Genomic DNA, 20869 nt, shown 5'->3' with positions numbered 1-20869 from the left:
GTCTACATTCATTAATGTGTCCTCCAGATATTGTAATTAAAGGCTGTTGTGGCTGTCAGCTGTCCCATTTTGACTGCCTGTCTTAGGCTACGAAGACATGAACGAAAGCGAGAGTAAAATTCCTGGGTTGGGGATTATACTTTTACCAATGCAGAGAAAAGGCAGAAGGCTGTGGAGAAATTGGGATGAATCAGAATCATGTTGGCGTCCTTGTTCCTTGCCAAGCCCAGGTGTCCCATTTTACTCCAGCAAGGGCCAGAGCACTGGAGTGGAAGCCAGGACAACTGGGTACTTTGTCCCAGCACAACCACGGACTCACTGGGAGACTGCACAAATTGATTCCCTCTAAGCCTACATTTCCTCAGTGGGAAAATGAAAATGCTGGACCAGGCAGTGCCAGTTTCTGGATCTTCCGGAACTAGAGGCTTTGCCTTTTACTCTTCCCCACACTGCTAGAGATGGCTGGGGTCTTCTCCTTAAAGATACTGCTAGTTCAAAGCTTGCAGAAATCAGTAACTGTGTGCCTTCTTTCTTGATAGATTTGGAATTGACCATGTAGATAATCTCTGAGAGCAGTTCTTAAAGTGTAATCCAGAACCGGTGGAACTTGCTAGAAACGCATATTCTTCGGACCCCCTCCAAATCTGCTGAATCTGAGATTGTGGAGGTACGGTTCAGCAATCTGTATTTTAACAAGCCCTGAATTCAGGTGATTCTGACGCATGCTAATATTTGAGACCGCTGATCTAAATGAAGTATAATGCATTCGTTGAGGGTAAAAAAACATTGGACCCTTGTTCCATTATACCTTGACGATCTTGGTCACATTTGGTATTTTTATCTTTTAAAACATGCCCAAGGACACTGGAGATAAGATGAAATTTGAAATGAGCTGAGTCAACTCTGTATGTCAAAAGGTTGTCACATTTAAACATTTCTGCTTTTCTGGTGGGGGACAATTACAGAGTGGTTTAAAATATAGCCCCAGGCCTGAGCAAAGAGAACTTTGGGAAATGTAGTTTATTTATTTGTTATAGGAGTGCTTTGCAGGGGAGGGAGGTTTCTGGGAACTGTCTCCCTGGAGAGGTATGAAGTTTTCCAGGGCACCCTAGACTTGGCTGAAAGAGAGCCATTTCTGCTGTCGCTGGCAGCAGCTCTCTGTAAAAGCCCATGCATTTTATCTTTGCATGTTTGTTTGTTCTGCCTGTTGAACACTGGCTCTCATACCATCTTGTTCTGTAATTCAAAACTGACTTTTTAATTAGGTCTGAAAAGGAATGGTTCCCAGGCAATTCCTTTACAAAACTGGTAAGGACAGTTGCATTTGCTTTGACTTGTTTTGATGTAATTTGTCTGAGAGGGCTGCAGGGTCGCTCTGTTTTAAGTTATATTGGGCTGGCCTCTCTCCTGTGTTTGTAGTGGGAGGGGAGGAGGGCTGAATTCTGCTCTTGGGAACTTTGTGGGGACGAGGAGAAGATCCTGGCAGACTTTTCTCTTTCATTTTTAGACAGTAAACTGAATTGGTTCATGTGTTTAAGTCCACCTGGCTCAAGTTTAGCTGTTTGGCCAGAGGAAAAGCCTTAACTAGCTAAATTACAGGGGCCATGGGGCCTGCTGAGAGAGCAGACTGGAAATGGTGACTGGTGTGCTAGTTCAAAATTTCCGTTTTCAGGTTCTATCTAACACAGACTGGAGACATTCTAGTTAATTTGCATACTTGAAAATTGGGTTTCTAACCTAACTTCTCAATAAAGAAAATTACTGCATTTTTGAATTCCTTTTTGCTTCAACATCTGGATGTGGGACCCTCAGGAGGCCTGGAAATCAAGGATGCAGTTGCTACCAGAGCAACCCCACTTTGTTTTGGTGGTTTACACTTTTATTTAAGATTTACTTTGGAGAAAATGTTCCACTGCTTTACAAAGTTTGAAAACTGTTGATTTAGACTGGGGGTGTCCAGCCCAACCTTGGCCCTATAAATCAGGTTTGTCTACTCCCTTCTAGTCCACAGAGCAAGCCTCAGACACCGGAGGCACTGAGACCACTCTTCCTCAGCCCCTGTGCTATTTGATTTTTCCCAATAGCTCTGACTTTATTTATTTATTTTAAAATTTTTTATTTTTGAGACAGAGTCTCACTCTGTCGCCCAGGCTGGAGGGCAGTGGTGCAATCTCGGCTCACTGCATCCTCCGCCTCCCAGGTTCAAGCGATTCTCCTGCCTCAGCCTCCTGAGTAGCTGGGACTACAGACACGCACCACCATGCTCAGATAATTTTTGTATTTTTAGTAGAGATAGGGTTTCACCATGTTGGCCAGGCTGTTCTCGATCTCCTGACCTCAAGTGATTCACTCACCTTAGCCTCCCAAAATGCTGGGATTACAGGTGTCAGCCACTGTGTCTGGCCCCCAATAGTTCAGACTTTAGATCCACCACTAGCCCCATATTCAGCCATCCCTCTGCTTCCCCCCAGCATGTGAACACTTACTTGGGTCTCCAACTGTCTGGCATCTTGTCACATTGCTAAGCAACTGCTTCAGAGACAGAAAGGCCAGCGAATGCCTCGAGCCATGTGTTCTCCATAGCTGCTTGGCTTTGTGGTACTTTGTCCAGGCCTACATAACAGGTCTTCTTAGTGGCCTTGTCCAGAATGGAGTCATCCCTGCTGACTGCTCCTTGCTCTGGGGTCATCTCTACTACTACGGTTTCACAGAAACCTACTATAAATAGTTATCTCATGTACATCTATTTTCCAGTTTCTATATTTTTACAGTCATCTCCATTTCTATGGTCTCATACTGGGGTGGGGGTGTGTGGTTGTATACTTTTATGTTTATAATCTTTTCTTTACTCCATTTAGTGGGATTTCAGAAGTAAATGAAGGCAAACATATATGCTGAATGTTGTTTTACTAGAAATAACTTATATTGCATAAAATAAGTTTTTATTTTGAAGCCATTATAGATTCACAGAAAGTTGCAAAAATACAGGTTGAGTATTAATTATCCAAAATGCTTAGGACCAGAAGTGTTTTGGATTTTGGATTTTTTCGGATTTTTTCAGATTTTGGAATATTTGCATTATACTTACCAGTTGAACATCCCTAATCAAAAAATCTGAACTCCAAAATGATTCAATGAGTATTTTCTTTGAGCATCATTTCAGCACTCAGAAAATTTCAGATTTTGATTCGGGGGGAAAATGGATGGTTGTTTCTGTACTGAACACGGACAGACTTATTTTGGTCATTATTCCCTAAAAAAGACACCATAACAACTATTACGTGACATTTGCATTGTATTAGGTATTATAAGTAACCAAATGATGATTTCTTTTTTTCTTTTTTTGAGGTGGAGTCTCGCTCTGTTGCCCAGGCTGGAGTGCAATGGTATGATCTTGGCTCACTGCAAACTCCGCCTCCTGGTTCAAGCGATTCTCCTGCCTCAGGCTCCCAAGTAGCTGGGATTACAGGCGCGCACCACCATACCCAGCTAATTTTTGTATTTTTAGTAGAGATGGGGTTTCACCATGTTGGCCAGGCTGGTCTCAAACTGCTGACCTCAGGTAATCCACCCACCTCTGCCTCCCAAAGTGCTGGAATTACAGACATGAGCCACCGTGCCTGGCCCAAAAGATGATTTTAAGTATTCAGGAGGATGTGTGTAGGTTATATGCAAGTACTCCACCATTATGTATAAGGACTTAAGCATTTGTGGATTTTAGGGTGTCCTGGAACCAATCTCCTATGGATAATGAGAAATGACTGTTTCTCTCTTTTTCTGGGCACAATATTTTTAGTTTTTACATTATAAAAGTAGTATAACGATGTTGAAATATCTAAAGAAAAAGTTAATGTGTATTTCTTTACTCCCAGGGCAACCACTTGTAACAGCTTAGCATGGGTATGCCCTCATTTCATTCCATATTATCCTAATATTGCATATAAATAATTGGCCTAACTCATCCCTTACTGATGAGCATTTATATTGCTTAAATTGTTTTGCTCTTGCAAATACATTGCATTGAACATTTGTTTTAATAAATTTCAGATTTTGAGCATTTCAGATTTCAGGTTTTCAGATTAGGATTGCTCAACCTGTCATGTGGAGGTTTCGTGTATACTTCACCCAGATTCCACCAATGCCAAAATCTTACCCAACTCTAGTACAGGATCAGAATTAGGAAGTTGACATTGGTACAATTGACAGATCTTATTCAGATTTCACCAATTTTAGATGTAGTTGTGTGTGTGTGTGTATGTGTACATAGTTCTGTGCAATTTTATCTAGTGTAGACATGGGTAACCACCACCACAATCAAGATACAGGACTGTTCTACCATAAAGATTCATTATACTGCTACCTTATAGTCATGCCTTTCGCCCTCTTCTCACTCCCAACCTCTGGAAATCACTAATCTGTTCTCTATGTCTATCATCTGGTCATTTTAAGAATGTTATATAAGTGGAATCATACAATATGTATTTGATATTGGCTTTTTTCCCACTTAGCATAATTCCCTTGAGATCCATTGGAGGAGTTGTGCATATCAATAACGTGTTCCTTTTTACTGCTGAGTTGTATTCCATGATATAGGTGTTCCACAGTCTAACCATTCACCCAACTGAAGGACATTTGAAATGTTTCCAATTTTTGGCTGTTACAAATAAATGCAATGCTTTTCTATTAAATAAAAACCGAAATCAGCCTGCTGCGGTGGCTCACGCCTGTAATCCCAGCACTTTGGGAGGCCGAGGCGGGCAGATCACCTGAGATTGGGAGTTTGAGACCAGCCTGACCAACACGGAGAAACCCCGTCTCCACTAAAAATACAAAAAATTAGCCGGCCTGGTGGCGCATGCCTGTAATCCCAGCTACTTGGGAGGCTGAAGCGGGAGAATCGCTTGAACCTGGGAGGCGGAGGTTGCTGTGAGCCGAGATCGCGCCATTGCACTCCAGCCTGGGCAACAAGAATGAAACTCCGTCTCAAACAAAACAAAACACAAAACAAAACAAAAACAAAAACCTAAATCATAAAACTCTAAGAAATGCCACAAATGTTGAATTTGACACCATCTTTGCACTTTTAAAAGAGAGGGTAAAGTTTGGCTTCCATATGGCTAGTCATTGGCAAGTCCTTGGTCTGAAGCCTCCTTTACTCACCATGAAACATAAATTGTGCCCTCTTGAAATCAGTGCACATCTGTGCTGGGGCAAGGAGGCAGGCCTGGTCTTGGTTCAGTTAATTACCCATTGATTTTATACTCCTGGTAAGACCAGACTCTGGTATGTTATGAGAAGTTTGTTCAAGTCCCTAAGGCCATTCTCCATAATAATGTGGCCAGTTACAATGAGTTATAGGTGATTTGGCTAACACATTCCTCATTGTTAACAGGGTAGTTCATTTGTTTGAGATTTATTTCATCTGTTTTACAACACCATGCCCAACCACACGGGGAACCTGGAAGATGGTATTGCAGTGTTCTTTGAGTTTTTAGGCAAAAACAATTCTCTTAACAATGGTTCCCAGCATCATAAAATGTTTTAAAGGAATTTATTCATTTGTTTAATAAATATTCATTGAGGACATAATATGTGCTAAACACTATTTTAGGTACTGGGAATATAATGGTGACCAAAGCAACCTGACATGATTACTCCCATCATGAAACTTATATTCTAATGGGGGAGACAAATTAATCAAATCACAAGGAGAAATCTGAAGTTACAACTGGGATACATTCTATACAGGAGAGGTGTTATTAAATCGTATAATGACCTGATTATTTCCCAAAAGCCCTAGCTCCTAATGCTGTCATCTTGGGGGCTCGCATTTCAACATATTGATTTTAAGGGGACATAAGCATTCAGTCCACTGCAATCCTGAACCAGGAAAAGAAAATTAATAGGACAGTTGACAAAATTTAAATAAGGTCTGTAGGATAAGCTATTGTATTGTTAATTCCTTAGTCTTGATAAATTATGCTTATGTACCAAGTTACATTTGGGGAATCTGGGAATTCTTTATACCATATTTACAATTTTGTAAAAAGTCTGAGATTACCTCCAAATGGGGATTTTTTATTTAAAAAAATTAAAATGAAGATTAAAAAGGGGGCTCCCTGAGTAAGTGCCCAGAGCAATAAATAAAAATAGACTCACATCTTAGAATATCATCGTGAAGTTTTAGAGCAACACGGATAAAGAAATATCCTGAAGACTTTCAGAGAGGGGAAAAAATAGATCACATATATAGGAATGAGAATCCTATGGGCACAAAACTTATCAATGGCATTACTGAAAACTAGAAGTTACAGCAAAATAGTCTTGGTGGTAAGGGCTCAGTGACGTCATTCCTTACAGTAGCTAATAAGTGCTACCTTGGAAGATTTCCTTGTCCACATTGGCTGTCCGGAGCTTACAGGATGTAGTAGTAGTACACCTTGGGAGAACTCCTGCTCTTCTCAGGATGACTCCCTTAATTGCTTCCTTTGCTCTCCCCTCCCTGTTCCCAACATGCTGAAGTCATCCCCGGCAACCCTATTTGTATGTGACTGCCCCTCTGGCTTCAGTTGACTGAACTAAGGAGTGAATCTTTTATTCCAAATAGGCCATTCAATGTCCCTTCTTCAGGAATTTGGAAAAAGGATGGAGAGATCTCTCTGAGCTAGACTCTTCAGTGGAGGAAATGTTACAACTCATGGACAGTGGCATTACCATCTGCCTTAGGAACGGAGCAGCCTCTGTCTTCAAGAAAAAAGAATGGAGCACACAAGGAGAAGAAAACAAGCAAGACAGGTAAAGAAATGCCTGGTTGCAGTCCCTCCTCAGACCAGGCAGCAGTTTTGGTGTTGCGTTCCTTTAGATGTTTATTGTCCTTAAAATAAATTCTTCTTTTTATTTATGTTAAATTGATGTGTTACTTGGAAACAAAGGACTTCAGTAATACAGAAGAGTGTTTGGATTTCCTTGCAGATATTTTAGCCCAAGAGAGTGATTTAGATAGTTTCGATGAAATTTTGTAATATGCTGTATTTTCCTTCTGGCAGGCCAGCCTAATCCATAAGTAATGTGATGAATGGTGGAGAGTGACCTCATCAAGCCCCAATGAATGTACATTGTTGGGTGGTTTCCAAACTGGATGGTTAATCATCAGACTTGCCTGGAGGCACTTTTTAAAAAATCAGATTCAGGACTCCCCTCTCCCCCTTAGCTGTGGAAGGAGAACAGTAGAGGGAAAACAGGAGAGAAATTAGTTTTGCGTAAGCGTGCCTGGATAGTTTTGAGAGATTCCATGTCAGACATTCAACTTTCTTTTAATATTTTCTCTTAAAAAACAAAACAAAACAAAACAAAACCCTTGCTGATAACGTGCTTGTGCTTACCATAGGCCTTTTCTCACTTTACAAAGAAAGACCCATCACCATCCCAAATCAAGCTGGCCTTGGGTATGAGAACTCCTAGGACACCAAAGAGAAGGTTCCTACGATGATGTGGTTCCCAGATAAGGCTTAGAAACTCTCATTTAGAAAACCTTATTTCTGAGAGTAAAACCAGCATTAGAAATGGCCATTTTGGTATTGAGATATTTGGTTGAGTGTGATGGTAGGAGTAATGATAATTGTTGTTTAACATCTTTCTTCCTTAATCTGAGTGGCCCTGTCCTAGTGGTTCCTCTAAATAAGGCAGCTGTTAAAGAATGCATCACCTGGTGAGTAAAAAAAGAGGATATTGGGCCAGGCATGGTGGCTCATGCCTCCGGCACTTTGGGAGGCCGAGGCAGGTGGATCACCTGAGGTCAGGAGTTCGAGACCAGCCTGGCCAACATGGTGAAACCCCGTCTCTACTAAAAATACAAAAACTAGCTGGGCATTGTGGCGTGTGCCTATAACCCCAGCTACTTGGGAGGCTGAGGGCAGGAGAATGGCTTGAACCTGGGAGGCAGGGGTTGCAGTAAGGTGAGACTGCACCATTGCACTCCAGCCTGTGCAACAGAGCAAGACTGCCTAAAAAAAAAAAAACAAAAAAAAAAGGATATTGGTATGAAGGAGTGACTGTCAATATATTTAAGTATATGTAAATATTGATTATTTTTTACCTCTTCAATTACTTATTCCTAAAATGTATCATTGATTAGAAAGGAACCCATAAACATATACATCTACTACGTACCCACAAAAATTAAAAATAAAAAAATTTTAAAAAGGAAAGGGAAGCAACTATAAACACCCAAAGCAGAATAGGTGAATGATTCTGACTATTTTAAATGTTTTTCATGACTACCCAATTTTTCAGGAATAAGTCATGGATAAATTTTTTATTTATTTTGGACTTGCTGTATATTATTACATAAAGAATATAGTTAGAATTGATTATCAAATCATCATGAAATATTTATTTCAAATATGGTCAATTCTCATCTTTAAAAATATTTTTTGAATGAAGCAATTTTTTTTTAGAAACAGGGTCTTGCTCCATCACCCAGGCTGGAGTGCAGTGGCATAATCCTAGCTCACCATGGCCTCAACCTCCTGGCCTCAAGCTTCTAGCCTTCTCCCTCTTTGGCCTAATTCTCATTTTTATTTATTAAATTTTGCATATTTCCTTCTTTCGATTAATAAGAAATAAAATGCTAGCTTCTGGATTTTTTTAGCAATGCATACACTTTTCTTTCATTAATTCATAGGGAAATTTTGATCATATATTTAAACAAAATTACAGAGTTTGATATTTTTTAAATTAACAGACTGTTTTTTAGAGCAGTTTTAGGTTTACAGAACAAATGAGTGAAAAGTACAGAGTTCCCAAATCTCTTCTTGTTTCTCCCCCTCCCAACATTTCCCTGATGATTAATATCTTGCATTAGTATGTTACATTTGTTATGATTGATGAGCCAATATTGATTCATTATTATTAACTAAAGTCCACAGTTTACATTAGGGTTAATTCTTTGTGTGGTACATTCTATGGGTTTGGACAAATGTCTAATGACATATACCCACCACAACAGTATCGGACAGAAGAGTTTTACTGCTCTGAAATGCTCCTGTGCTCCACCTGTTCATCCATCTCTCCCCCACAACTCCAGGAACAACTGACCTTTTACTGTCTCCATAGTTTTGCCTTTTCCAGAATGTCATATAGATGGAATCATATAGTATGTAGCCTTTTGGGGTTGGCTTCTTTCACTTAGTAATATGCATTTAAGGTTCCTCTATGTCTTTTCGTGGCTTGATAACTCATTTCATGTTAGTGCTGAATAATATTCCATTGTATGGATGTACTACAGCCTGTCCATTCACATATTGAAGGAAATCATTGTCATGTTCAAGTTTTAGAAATTAGAATGAAGCTGCTATGTTTATTATTAACTAAATAATAATATGCTATATGTTATTGGCATAAATATGTTATTTATTAACTAAACATTCATATGCAGGTTTTGGGTTAGTCATAAGTTTGGGTGATACCAAGGAGCAAAACCATTGCTGCATAATTAAGAGTATGTTTAGTTTTGTAAAATACTGCCAAACCGACTTTCACACTGGCTGTATCATTTGCATTCCTACCAGCAATGAACTGAAGTTTCTGTTGCTCCACATCCTCATCAGCATTTTGTATTGTCAGTGTTTTCCATTTTAGCTATTTAAATAGGTGTGTAGTAGTTTCTAATTTTTTGTTTTAATTTGTAATTCCCTAATGACATATGATGTTGAACTTCTTTTCGTATGCTTATTTTCCGTCTGTATATCTTTTTTGGTGAAGTGAGATCTTTTCATGTCTTTTGCCCATCCTTTATCAGATATGCAAATATTTTCTCCCAGTCTGTGGCTTGTCTTTTTATTTTCTTAATGGAGTTTGATTTGTATTCTTGGTTCTTATTCTTTCTCAACAAATGAACACCAGAGTTTGATCAAACTAAATTTTTCAGAAGAATACTATGCCTTTTATGATACCTCTAACTTCACAAATAACCTAAAAGTTTAGTCACACATTCTATTACATTTTTACAAAGTATCACGTTGGTGGGAAAAAGTTTTTGCTTTGTTGAAATTTGCCATTTGATATTGGAATACATTCTTAAATAAATGTGGTTATGTTATAGATCATTTTAATGCACATTTCTTACTTTTTTTGGCTAATGAATTATTACTTGCATTTATTTTATATGTATTTTATTTATTTTTGAGATGGAATCTCCCTCTGTCACCGAGGGTAGAGGGCAGTGGTGCAATTTTGGCTCACTGCAACCACCACCTCCTAGGTTCAAGCGATTCTCCTGCCTCAGCCTCCCGAGTAGCTGGCATTACAGGCATGTACCACCACACCTGGCTAACTTTTGTATTTTTAGTAGAGACGGCATTTTGCCACATTAGCCAGGCTGGTCTTGAACTCCTGACAGGTGTTCCACCCACCTCGGCCTCCCAAAGTGCTGGGATTACAGGCTGACCCACTGTGCCCAGCCTATTTTATATTTATTTTTGACTATGGAAATGATGTTAGACAAAAAGCAAATTCAAGTGATTTTCTTATTCGAGTTCAAAATTGTTGAAACAGCAAATTGATTTATTATCTTGCTTAGCACGTTTGAATAACATGTTATAAAATGATATATTAATTATCATGTTATTGATTTAATCTTTTTTAGTAATATTATGTGGTACTTCCCTGAAGATATTTCTCAGTTGTTTTTAACAATGTTTTTGAGATATGAATTAATACATTAATTTGAATTGAAAAACAAAGTTATTGCACACTGATTAATTTTTGAGAAAAAAAAGAAAAAGTCAGGCTTTATATGAAAGTGAAATAAGGCTGATTGGATTGACATAGAGGATTAGCTCTTTAGGTTTTGTGGCAGGTATTTTCCAAGACTTGAATGTATTCTTTCCTCAGCACCCAGTTTTGATAAAAGTATATGTAAAATGTATTAATAACAGTTTACTGAAAAAAATTGAATTGACAGAAGTGTAATGGAATTAAAATTGATATGGATATCCTAGTCCTGTCTAAATCCAAAGGATAAAACCTGATGCCTCGAAGTGAAAGAGTAACAACCGTGGTCAGCCATCCGTATCCGTGGGTTCAGCATCTGTGGATTCAACCAACCTCAGATCAAAAATATTCAGAAAAAAAGTTGTCTGTACTCAACATGTACAGACTTTTTGCTTTCTTCTCATTATTCCCCAAACAATATGGTATAACAACTATTTACATAGCATTTACACTGTATTAGATGTTACAAGTAATCTACAGATGATTTAAAGTATACAGGAGGATGTGCATGGGTTATATGAAAATACTATGCCATTTTATATTAGGGACTTCAATATCCGTGGATTTTGGTATCCAAGTGTGCATACACAAATACACCAATTTATGGCCGGGCGCGGTGGCTCACACCTGTAATCCCAGCTACTCGGGAGGCTGAGGTAGGAGAATTCCTTGAACCCAGGAGGCCGAGGTTGCAGTGAGCAGAAATCGCACCACTGCACTCCAGCCTGGGCGAAAGAGCAAAACTCCATCTCAAAAAAAAAAAAAAAAAAAAAGAAAAAAGAAAATAATTCTCTATCAATAGACTTTTTTGGCCAGGAGTGGTAGCTCACCCCTGTAATCCCAGCACTTTGGGAGTGTTATAAATAAAGTTTTGGTGCTACAAAAGAAATAGCACTCGAATATAAAATTTTCTTTTTAATTCTCAGCAAGGCAAGTTACTTCTAGAGAAGGGTGCACCCTTACAAATGGAGCAATGGTGAGCGCACACTGGACAAGAAAGGGGAAGGTGTTCTTATCCCTGACACACGTGGCCCCTGCTGCTGTGTTCTTCCCCTATTGGCTAGGGTTAGACTGCACAGGCTAAACTAATTCCGATTGGCTAATTTAAAGAGAGTGACGGGGTGAGTGGTTTGGCGGGAAAAATGGTTATGACAGAGCTGGTAATCGGAATTTGTCTGGGTGGAGTAGGTAATCAGAATGAGTCAGGGTGGTGCAGGTGATTGAAATGAGTCAGGGTGGAGCAGTTAATCCAAAAAGGTTGCTTTATGAGGAAGTTAAGTTTAAAAGTAGAAGGCAAATAATTGAACATACTGACATATTGATTCTTTGTAAAGAAATTTAGAACTCATATCTGACAGGAGGCAGAGGCGGGTGGATCACTTGAGGCCAGGAGTTCGAGACCAGCCTGGCCAACATGGGGAAACCCAGTCTTTACCAAAAATACAAAAATTAGCTGGGCATAGTGGCTCACACCTGTAATCCCAGTTACTCAGGAGGCTGAGGCACGAGAATTGCTTGAGCCTGGGAGGCAGAGGTTGCAGTAAGCTGAGATCACACCACTGCACTCCAGCCTGGGTGACAGAGCAAGACTCAAAAAAAAAAAAAAAAGATTTTCTTTTGTTGTTGTTGTTGCTGTTGTTGCAACAAATTTGGTTATGATTTGCTAACACCAGTTTGAGCAGGTCAGTTCACCCAAAACTCTGGGGCCGGTTTCTTTGTTTGTAAAATTAGACCAGTGACTATTTCTTTTAGGTTTCCTCAATCTCTATAATTCTTTTATTTTATTATTGTCTTAAAAGTGTCTGGAAAACATTTTTAAAGTACTACATAATAATTATTTCAATATTTTTTCAAGTTTTTTTCCCTCACAAAACATGGAATGACTGGGCTGGGCACGGTGGCTCATGCCTGTAATCCCAACACTTTGGGAGGCCGAGGTGGGCAGATCACCTGAGGTCGGGAGTTCGAGACCAGCCTGACCAACATGGAGAAACCCCGTCTCTACTAAAAATACAAAATTAGCCGGGTGTAGTGGCATATGCCTATAATCCCAGCTACTTGAGAGGCTGAGGCAGGAGAATCGCTTGAACCCGGGAGGCGGAAGTTGTGGTGAGCCGAGATCATGCCATTGCACTCCAGCCTGGGCGACAAGAGCGAAACTCCATCTCAAAAAAAACCAAAAAAACAAACAAAAAAAACACATGGAATGACTGAATTTATTAACATAGTATTACTGCTAATTTTTTTTAAGTGAGCCTAGGAGTGAAAAGTCTAAACAATCAGTTGAAGGCATTTGTTCTAACACCTTAAGCTTTGGAGTTTGAAAAGTAGACTGTATAGTCTCCTGAGCTAGAACAGAGACAATATGGAGGATGTCAGACTGCCCATTATTTTAAATTCCAGACTCACATTGAATTGTAAGTGCTGACCTAATACTGCTTTGTTATCAAAATGCCCGTTTGTATTGTCATTACATAGCCTAGATAAACCTTAAAAGACCTGTTTACTTTGAATCTTTAGTTACATAGTAATGCATGTTGTTTCTAAAACCTTTTGGAATAGATGTCATAGTTCAAAATCACAGTTATCTATCTAATCAGTCTAGCTAACAAAGCTTACAAAGTGTGTAACAAATTCTTAGATAACACTGCAAGGCTATGTTTTAATGGAATAGCCAGGATCTTTTTGTTCTGGGCGGAACAAAATTTTCTTTATCTTTTCTGCAAGGAGTTGGCAGTTTACTCAAGGGCATTTCTAGCTTTTCAAAATGCAAATTTACAAGCACATTGCCTACATTTAAAACTACATATATTTGTCTGTTTTCATCTGCACAGCAGTTCTCAGCAATAGACAGGGTTGCTGCTGTTAGTCACATTTGGAGAAGCTGAAACAGAGAGACTGAGGCTTTCTCACTTTCGCACAGCTTCTTAGAAACGATTAAGCAACAAGTTTATTGAGCCCTACTAGGAGCAAGTCATTGTTCCAGTCCTAGAAGTCATCTATAATATCCTGGCCTCAAGAGACTTTCCTCTAGACCTGGGCAGGAGAATAAAGCTTTGTGGAGCCGCAGTGTAGTGAGAGTGTTCCTGTGGTCCTTCCCAACACAAATGCCTCTCTGCCTCTCTTGCCTATGCCTTTGGTTTATTATGGACATTCCTGGGCACTACTTGGCTTGTTAGCTTCTCAAATGGCAGACAGAGATCTGACTCTAGGGCAGACTCAAAAGTCTGGAATTTAGGGACATTTCTCCTGAATATGATAATGTGGTGGCTGGATCCATTGAGAGATTAATTTCTCTTAGGTTTCTTACAGTAAGAAAACATGAAAACAATAAGTAGAATTTTTCTCTCTTGGTCTTTGACCCACTTCAAGCAATCAAGTGAGCCTGCTTTTGTTTTCTGGTGTCATTAAAAGGCTTTTCCTTCCCCAACCTCTCAAGCCCTAGGTTCCTAAACGTGCTAGATTATCCAAGAAGTAGAGGGACCCCAAAGGCTGAAGGGGGCTAAGTGGAACAGCTGCTCCCATGTTGTACCCCAGAAGGGATTGGACATTTGATGGGAATGGGGAGCAGTGGTCCTGGGGAACCAGACTGAACACCAAGAACCACTGCCTTTAGTGCCACAGTGGAAGTTTCCTATGACTCTGCTTGGCACTAAGCATAATGGAGAGAATAGGGTCCTTTGCCTTTGAACAGACCCTGCAGGCTTGGTCAATAAGCATCTGCTACTGTGATGGCCTGAGAAATAAAGGCTCTTCTACCATTTCCTGGGTACCACATTATCCTACCCCTATCTCTACTGTTGGACTATCCAAAGGAGGAGGAGAAAACTCATACTAATCATTGTGATAATGATCTACCATGCATTGAGATACACCATATATTTGGCACAGTGTTTACTTAGCAGGACAATTTGTGAAAAATTTCACGTGGCAGAATAACTTGATTACAGAGTTAACTGTGTCTTGTGTTCAAGGTTGTAGGCTCATCAGCAAAGAATGAGAGGAATTTTTCCATGTCTCTTCCAACAAAGAAGCCTAGGCATTGTGTTCTGAAACCTGGATTTCTTAACCTCTGGGAAGAATGAAATGGTCTTTATTTATGAAGGTCTAAATCCCAAGTGGAAACTTAAAGGACTGAGCTTCTGGATTTTATTTGGCCTGAAAAATGTTTTAAGAGAATGTGAATTAGATGCTTGTGTTTAAAAAACAGAAGTTTTCATATAAAAACTGAAATTTCCAGTACCTCTTTAAAAATCAGAAGATTTGGTAACATTCAGCCTGACTTCCCTGTGACAACAGGCAGTTGGGGATGAGCTGGAGCTCCAACTCAAGACAAGAATGTTCTTTCCAGTTTGCCACAGTACCTAAGATACCTGAATGTCTTCTATGGTACCAACATCCTTAAAGAATATTTCTGCCTGGCTACTATAGATATTTGAGTTTTTGATCTCTGGTCTGGGTCTATTGATGGGAAAACAACTGAATATTTCCACATAATTGAGGAAGACTGGCTCAATCTCAGAAGTGACTTCCTCAAATCTGGACAAGAGAATAAGATCTGGGACCTATCCATTGATACTATATGGGTTTAAAGCCTTCTAATTATTTATTCAGAAAAATATGTAGTGCAAACACTCACTGGGTAATGGATAGTTGTCATGTATTGTTTCAAAATCAAAATTGGATCATACTGTTTATGACTTGTATTTTTAATTTACTGAATATATTTAAAAATCATAAACAAGGGCCAGTTGTGGTGGCTCATGCCTGTAATCCCAGCTGTTTGGGAGGCTAGGGTGAGGGGATTGCTTAAGGCCAGGAGTTTGAGACCAGCCTGGGCAACATAGTGAGACCCCATCTTTAAAAAAAAAAAAAGTAGCAGGATGTGATGGTGTGCACCTGTAGTCCCAGCTACTGGGGAGGCTGAGGTGAGAGGATTGCTTGAGACCAGGAGTTCAAGCCTGCAATGAACTATGATCTCACCACTACCCTCCAGCCTGGGTGACAGAGGGAGAACTTGTCTCCAAAAACAAAAAAAATTATAAACATTTTGATGGATAGCACATATATATATATGTTTATATATAGATAGATATAGATATATAAAACATGGGTTATAAAGGAAACAATGAAACAAGACTATCCATTTGAGTTGGCCAATCTTGGTGTATTAGTTTCCTGTGGCTGCCGTAACAAATTGTCACAAACTTGGTGGCTTAAAACAACAGGAGTTTATTCTTTCATAGTTTTGGAGGCCAGAAGTCTGACATAAAGGAGTTGGCAGAACATTCAAATTCAGGAAATACAGAGAATGCCACAAAGATACTCCTTGAGAAGAGCAACTCCAAGACACATAATTGTCAGATTCATCAAAGTTGAAACAAAGGAAAAAATGTTATGGGCAGCCAGAGAGAAAGGTCAGGTTACCCACAAAGGGAAGCCCAACAGACTAACAGCGGATGTCTTGGCAGAAACTCTGCAAGCCAGAAGAGAGTGGGGGCCAATATTCAACATTCTTAAAGAAGAGAATTTTCAACCCAGAATTTCATATCCAGCTGAACTAAGCTTCATAAGTGAAGGAGAAATAAAATCCTTTACAGACCAACAAATGCTGAGAGACTTTGTCACCACCAGGCCTGCCTTACAAGAGCTCCTGAAGGAAGCACTAAACATGGAAAGGAAAAACCGGTACTAGCCACTGCAAAAACAAGCCAGATTGTAAAGACCATTGATACTGGGAAGAAACTGCATCAACTAATGGGCAAAATAACCAGCTAACATCATAATGACAGGATCAAATTCACACATAACAATATTAACCTTAAATGTAAATGGGCTAAATGCTCCACTTAAAAGACACAGACTGGCAAACTGGATAAAAAGTCAAGACCCATCAGTGTGCTGTATTTGGGAGACCCATCTCACATGCAGAGACCCACATAGGCTCAAAATAAAGTGATGGAGGAAGATCTACCAAGCAAATGGAAAACAAAAAAAAAAAGCAGGGGTTGCAATCCTAGTCTCTGATAAAACAGACTTTAAACCAACAAAGATTAAAAGAGACAAAGAAGGCCATTACATAATGGTAAAGGGATCAATTCAACAAGAAGAGCTAACTATCCTAAATACATATGCACCCAATACAGGAGCACACAGATTCATAAAGCAAGTCCTTAGAGACCTACAAAGAGACTTAGACTCCCACACAATAATAATGGGAGACTTTAACACCCCACTGTCAACATTAGACAGATCAACAAGACAGAAAGTTGACAAGGATATCCAGGAATTGAACTCAACTCTGAACCAAGCGGACCTAATAGACATCTACAGAACTCTCCACCCCAAATCAACAGAATACACATTCTTCTCAGCACCACATCATACTTATTCCAAAATTGACCACGTAGTTGGAAGTAAAGCACTCCTCAGCAAATGTAAAAGAACAGAAATTATAGCACACTGTCTCTCAGACCACAGTGCAATCAAACTAGAACTCAGGATTAAGAAACTCACTCAAAACCGCTCAACTACATGGAAACTGAACAACCTGCTCCTGAATGACTACTGGGTACATAATGAAATGAAGGCAGAAATAAAGATGTTCTTTGAAACCAACAAGAACAAAGACACAACATACCAGAATCTCTGGGACACATTTAAAGCAGTGTGTAGAGGGAAATTTATAGCACTAAATACCCACAAGAGAAAGCAGGAAAGATCTGAAATCGACACCTTAAAATCACAAATAAAAGAACTAGAGAAGCAAGAGCAAACATATTCAAAAGCTAGCAGAAGGCAAGAAATAACTAAGATCAGAGCAGAACTAAGGAGACAGAGACATAAAAATCCCTTCAAAAAATCAATGAATCCAGGAGCTGGTTTTTTGAAAAGATCAACAAAATAGATAGACCACTAGCAAGACTAATAAAGAAAAAAAGAGAGAAGAATCAGATAGACGCAATAAAAAATGTTAAAGAGGATATCACCACCAATCCCACAGAAATACAAACTACCATCAGAGAATACTATAAACACCTCTACACAAATAAACTAGAAAATCTAGAAGAAATGGATAAATTCCTCGACACATACACCCTCCCAAGACTAAACTGGGAAGAAGTTGAATCCTTGAATAGACAAATAACAGGTTCTGAAATTGAGGCAATAATTAATAGCCTACCAACCAAAGTCCAGGACCAGATGGAGTCACAACAGAATTCTACCAGCGGTATAAAGAGGAGCTGGTACCATTCCTTCTGAAACTACTCCAATCAATAGAACAAGAGTGAATCCTCCCTAATTCATTTTATGAGGCCAACATCATCCTGATACCAAAGCCTGGCAGAGACACAACAAAAAAAGAGAATTTTATACCAATATCCCTGATGAACATCAATGCAAAAATCCTCAATAAAATACTGACAAACTGAATCCAGCAGCACATCAAAAAGCTTATCCACCACGATCAACTTGGCTTCACCCCTGGGATGCAAGGCTGGTTAAACATACGCAAATCAATAAACGTAATCCATCATATAAACAGAACCAAAGACAAAAACCACATGATTATCTCAATAGATGCAGAAAAGGCCTTTGAAAAAATTCAACAGCCCTTCATGCTAAAAACTCTCAATAAACTAGGTATTGATGGGATGTATCTCAAAATAATAAGAGCTATTTATGACAAACCCGCAGCCAATATCATACTGAATGGGCAAAAACTGGAGGCATTCCATTTGAAAACTGGCACAAGACAGGGATGCCCTCTCTCACCACTCCTATTCAACACAGTGTTGGAAGTTCTGGCCAGGGCAATCAGGCAAGAGAAAGAAATAAAGGGTATTCAAGTAGGAAAAGAGGAAGTCAAATTGTCCCTGTTTGCAGATGACATGATTGTATATTTAGAAAACTCCATCATCTCAGCCCAAAATCTCCTTAAACTGATAAGCAACGTCAGCAAAGTCTCAGGATACAAAATCAATGTGCAAAAATCACAAGCATTCCTATACACCAATAACAGACAAACAGAGAGCCAAATCATGAGTGAACTCCCATTCACAATTGCTTCAATGAGAATAAATACCTAGGAATCCAACTTACAAGGGACATGAAGGACCTCTTCAAGGAGAACTACAAACCACTGCTCAATGAAATAAAAGAGGACACAAACAAATGGAAGAATATTCCATGCTTGTGGATAGCAAGAATCAATATCGAGAAAATGGCCATACTGCCCAAGGAAATTTATAGATTCAACGCCATCCCCATCAAGCTACCAATGACTTTCTTCACAGAATTGGAAAAAACTACTTTAAAGTTCATATGGAACCAAAAAGAGCCCGCATTGCCAAGACAATCCTAAGCAAAAAGAACAAAGCTGGAGGCATCACACTTCCTGACCTCAAACTATACTACAAGGCTACAGTAATCAAAACAGCATGGTACTGGTACCAAAACAGAGATATGGACCAATGGAACAGAATAGAGCCCTCGGAAATAATACCACACATCTACAACCATCTGATCTTTGACAAACATGACAAAAACAAGAAATGGGGAAAGGATTCCCTATTTAATAAATGGTGCTGGGAAAACTGGCTAGCCATATGTAGAAAGCTGAAACTGGATCCCCTTCCTTAAACCTTATACAAAAATTAATTCAAGATGGATTAAAGACTTAAATGTTAGACCTAAAACCATAAAAACCCTAGAGGAAAACCTAGGCAATACCATTCAGGCCATAGGCATGGGCAAGGACTTCGTGACTAAAACATCAAAAGCAATGGCAACGAAAGCCAAAATTGACAAATGGGATCTAATTAAACTAAAGAGCTTCTGCACAGCAAAAGAAACTACCATCAGAGTGAACAGGCAACCTATAGAATGGGAGAAAAATTTTTAAATCTACCCATCTGACAAAGGGCTAATATCCAGAATCTACAAAGAACTTAAACAAATGTATAAGAAAAAATCAAACAACCCCAACAAAAAGTGGGCAAAGGATATGAACAGACACTTCTCAAAAGAAGACATTTATGCAGCCAACAGACACATAAAAAATGCTCATGATCACTGGCCATTAGAGAAATGCAAATCAAAACCACAATGAGATACCATCTCACACCAGTTAGAATGGCAATCATTGAAAAGTCAGGAAACAACAGGTGCTGGAGAGGATGTGGAGAAATAGGAACACTTTTACACTGTTGGTGGGAGTGTAAACTAGTTCAACCATTGTGGAAGACAGTGTGGCGATTTCTGAAGGATGTAGAACTAGAAATACCATTTGACCCAGCCATCCCATTACTGGGTATATACCCAAAGGATTATAAATCATGCTGCTATAAAGACACATGCACGCATATGTTTATAGCGGCACTATTCACAATAGCAAAGACTTGGAACCAACCCAAATGTCCATCAGTGATAGACTGGATTAAGAAAATGTGGCACATACACCATGGAATACTATGCAGCCATAAAAAAGGATGAGTTCATGTCCTTTGTAGAGACATAGATGAAGCTAGAAACCATCATTCTGAGCAAACTTTCACAAGGACAGAAAACCAAACACCACATGTTCTCACTCATAGGTGGGAATCGAACAATGAGAACACTTGGACACAGGGTGGGGAACATCACACACTAGGGCCTGTCATGGGGTTGGGGGAGAGGGGAGGGATAGCATTAGAAGATATACCTAATGTAAATGACGAGTTAACGGGTGCAGCACACCACCATGGCACATGTATACATATGTAACAAACCTGCACATTGTGCACATGTACCCTAGAACTTAAAGTATAATAATAATAATAAAAAAAAGAAAAAATATATTATCCCAAAGCAAAGAAAAAAAAAAGAAAATCTTCTTCAAAGACAATGATATTTATTTCTGTTTTCTTATAGTATTTCTGAAATGTATGATAAGTCTGTATAAATGGATTCAAATTTTAAAAAAATAAAATAAAAGATTTGGCAGGACGGTGCTCACTTTGAAGTCTCTAGGGGAAAATCCTCCCTTGCCTCTCCCAGCTTTCGGGGGCTCCAGGCATCCCTTAGCTGTGGCTGCATAACTTTAATCTCTACCTCT

General features: G+C 39.2%; 1 protein-coding gene across 8 annotated transcripts in view; it reads left to right on the top strand.

Annotated features, from left to right (window-relative positions):
• The window catches only part of STK3 (serine/threonine kinase 3), a 598636-nt gene that overhangs the window by 52169 nt on the left and 525598 nt on the right, over nucleotides 1-20869 (top strand). For 7 of the 8 annotated variants that reach the window (XR_007060754.1, XM_017013756.2, XM_011517252.4 and 4 more), the window contains exon 2: nucleotides 6608-6795. Coding sequence is in view for 7 of the 8 variants with exons in the window: in XM_017013756.2 (XP_016869245.1) it covers nucleotides 6608-6795 (188 nt within the window). In the remaining variant the exon portion in view is untranslated. Of the gene's footprint in view, nucleotides 1-539; nucleotides 668-6607; nucleotides 6796-20869 lie in introns of all 8 variants that reach the window. The other variant, NM_001256312.2, reaches the window with a different exon arrangement.

Source organism: Homo sapiens, chromosome 8 (assembly GCF_000001405.40).
Source record: "Homo sapiens chromosome 8, GRCh38.p14 Primary Assembly".
NCBI lineage: Eukaryota > Metazoa > Chordata > Mammalia > Primates > Hominidae > Homo > Homo sapiens.
This window is presented reverse-complemented; position numbering and strand designations above follow the sequence as displayed.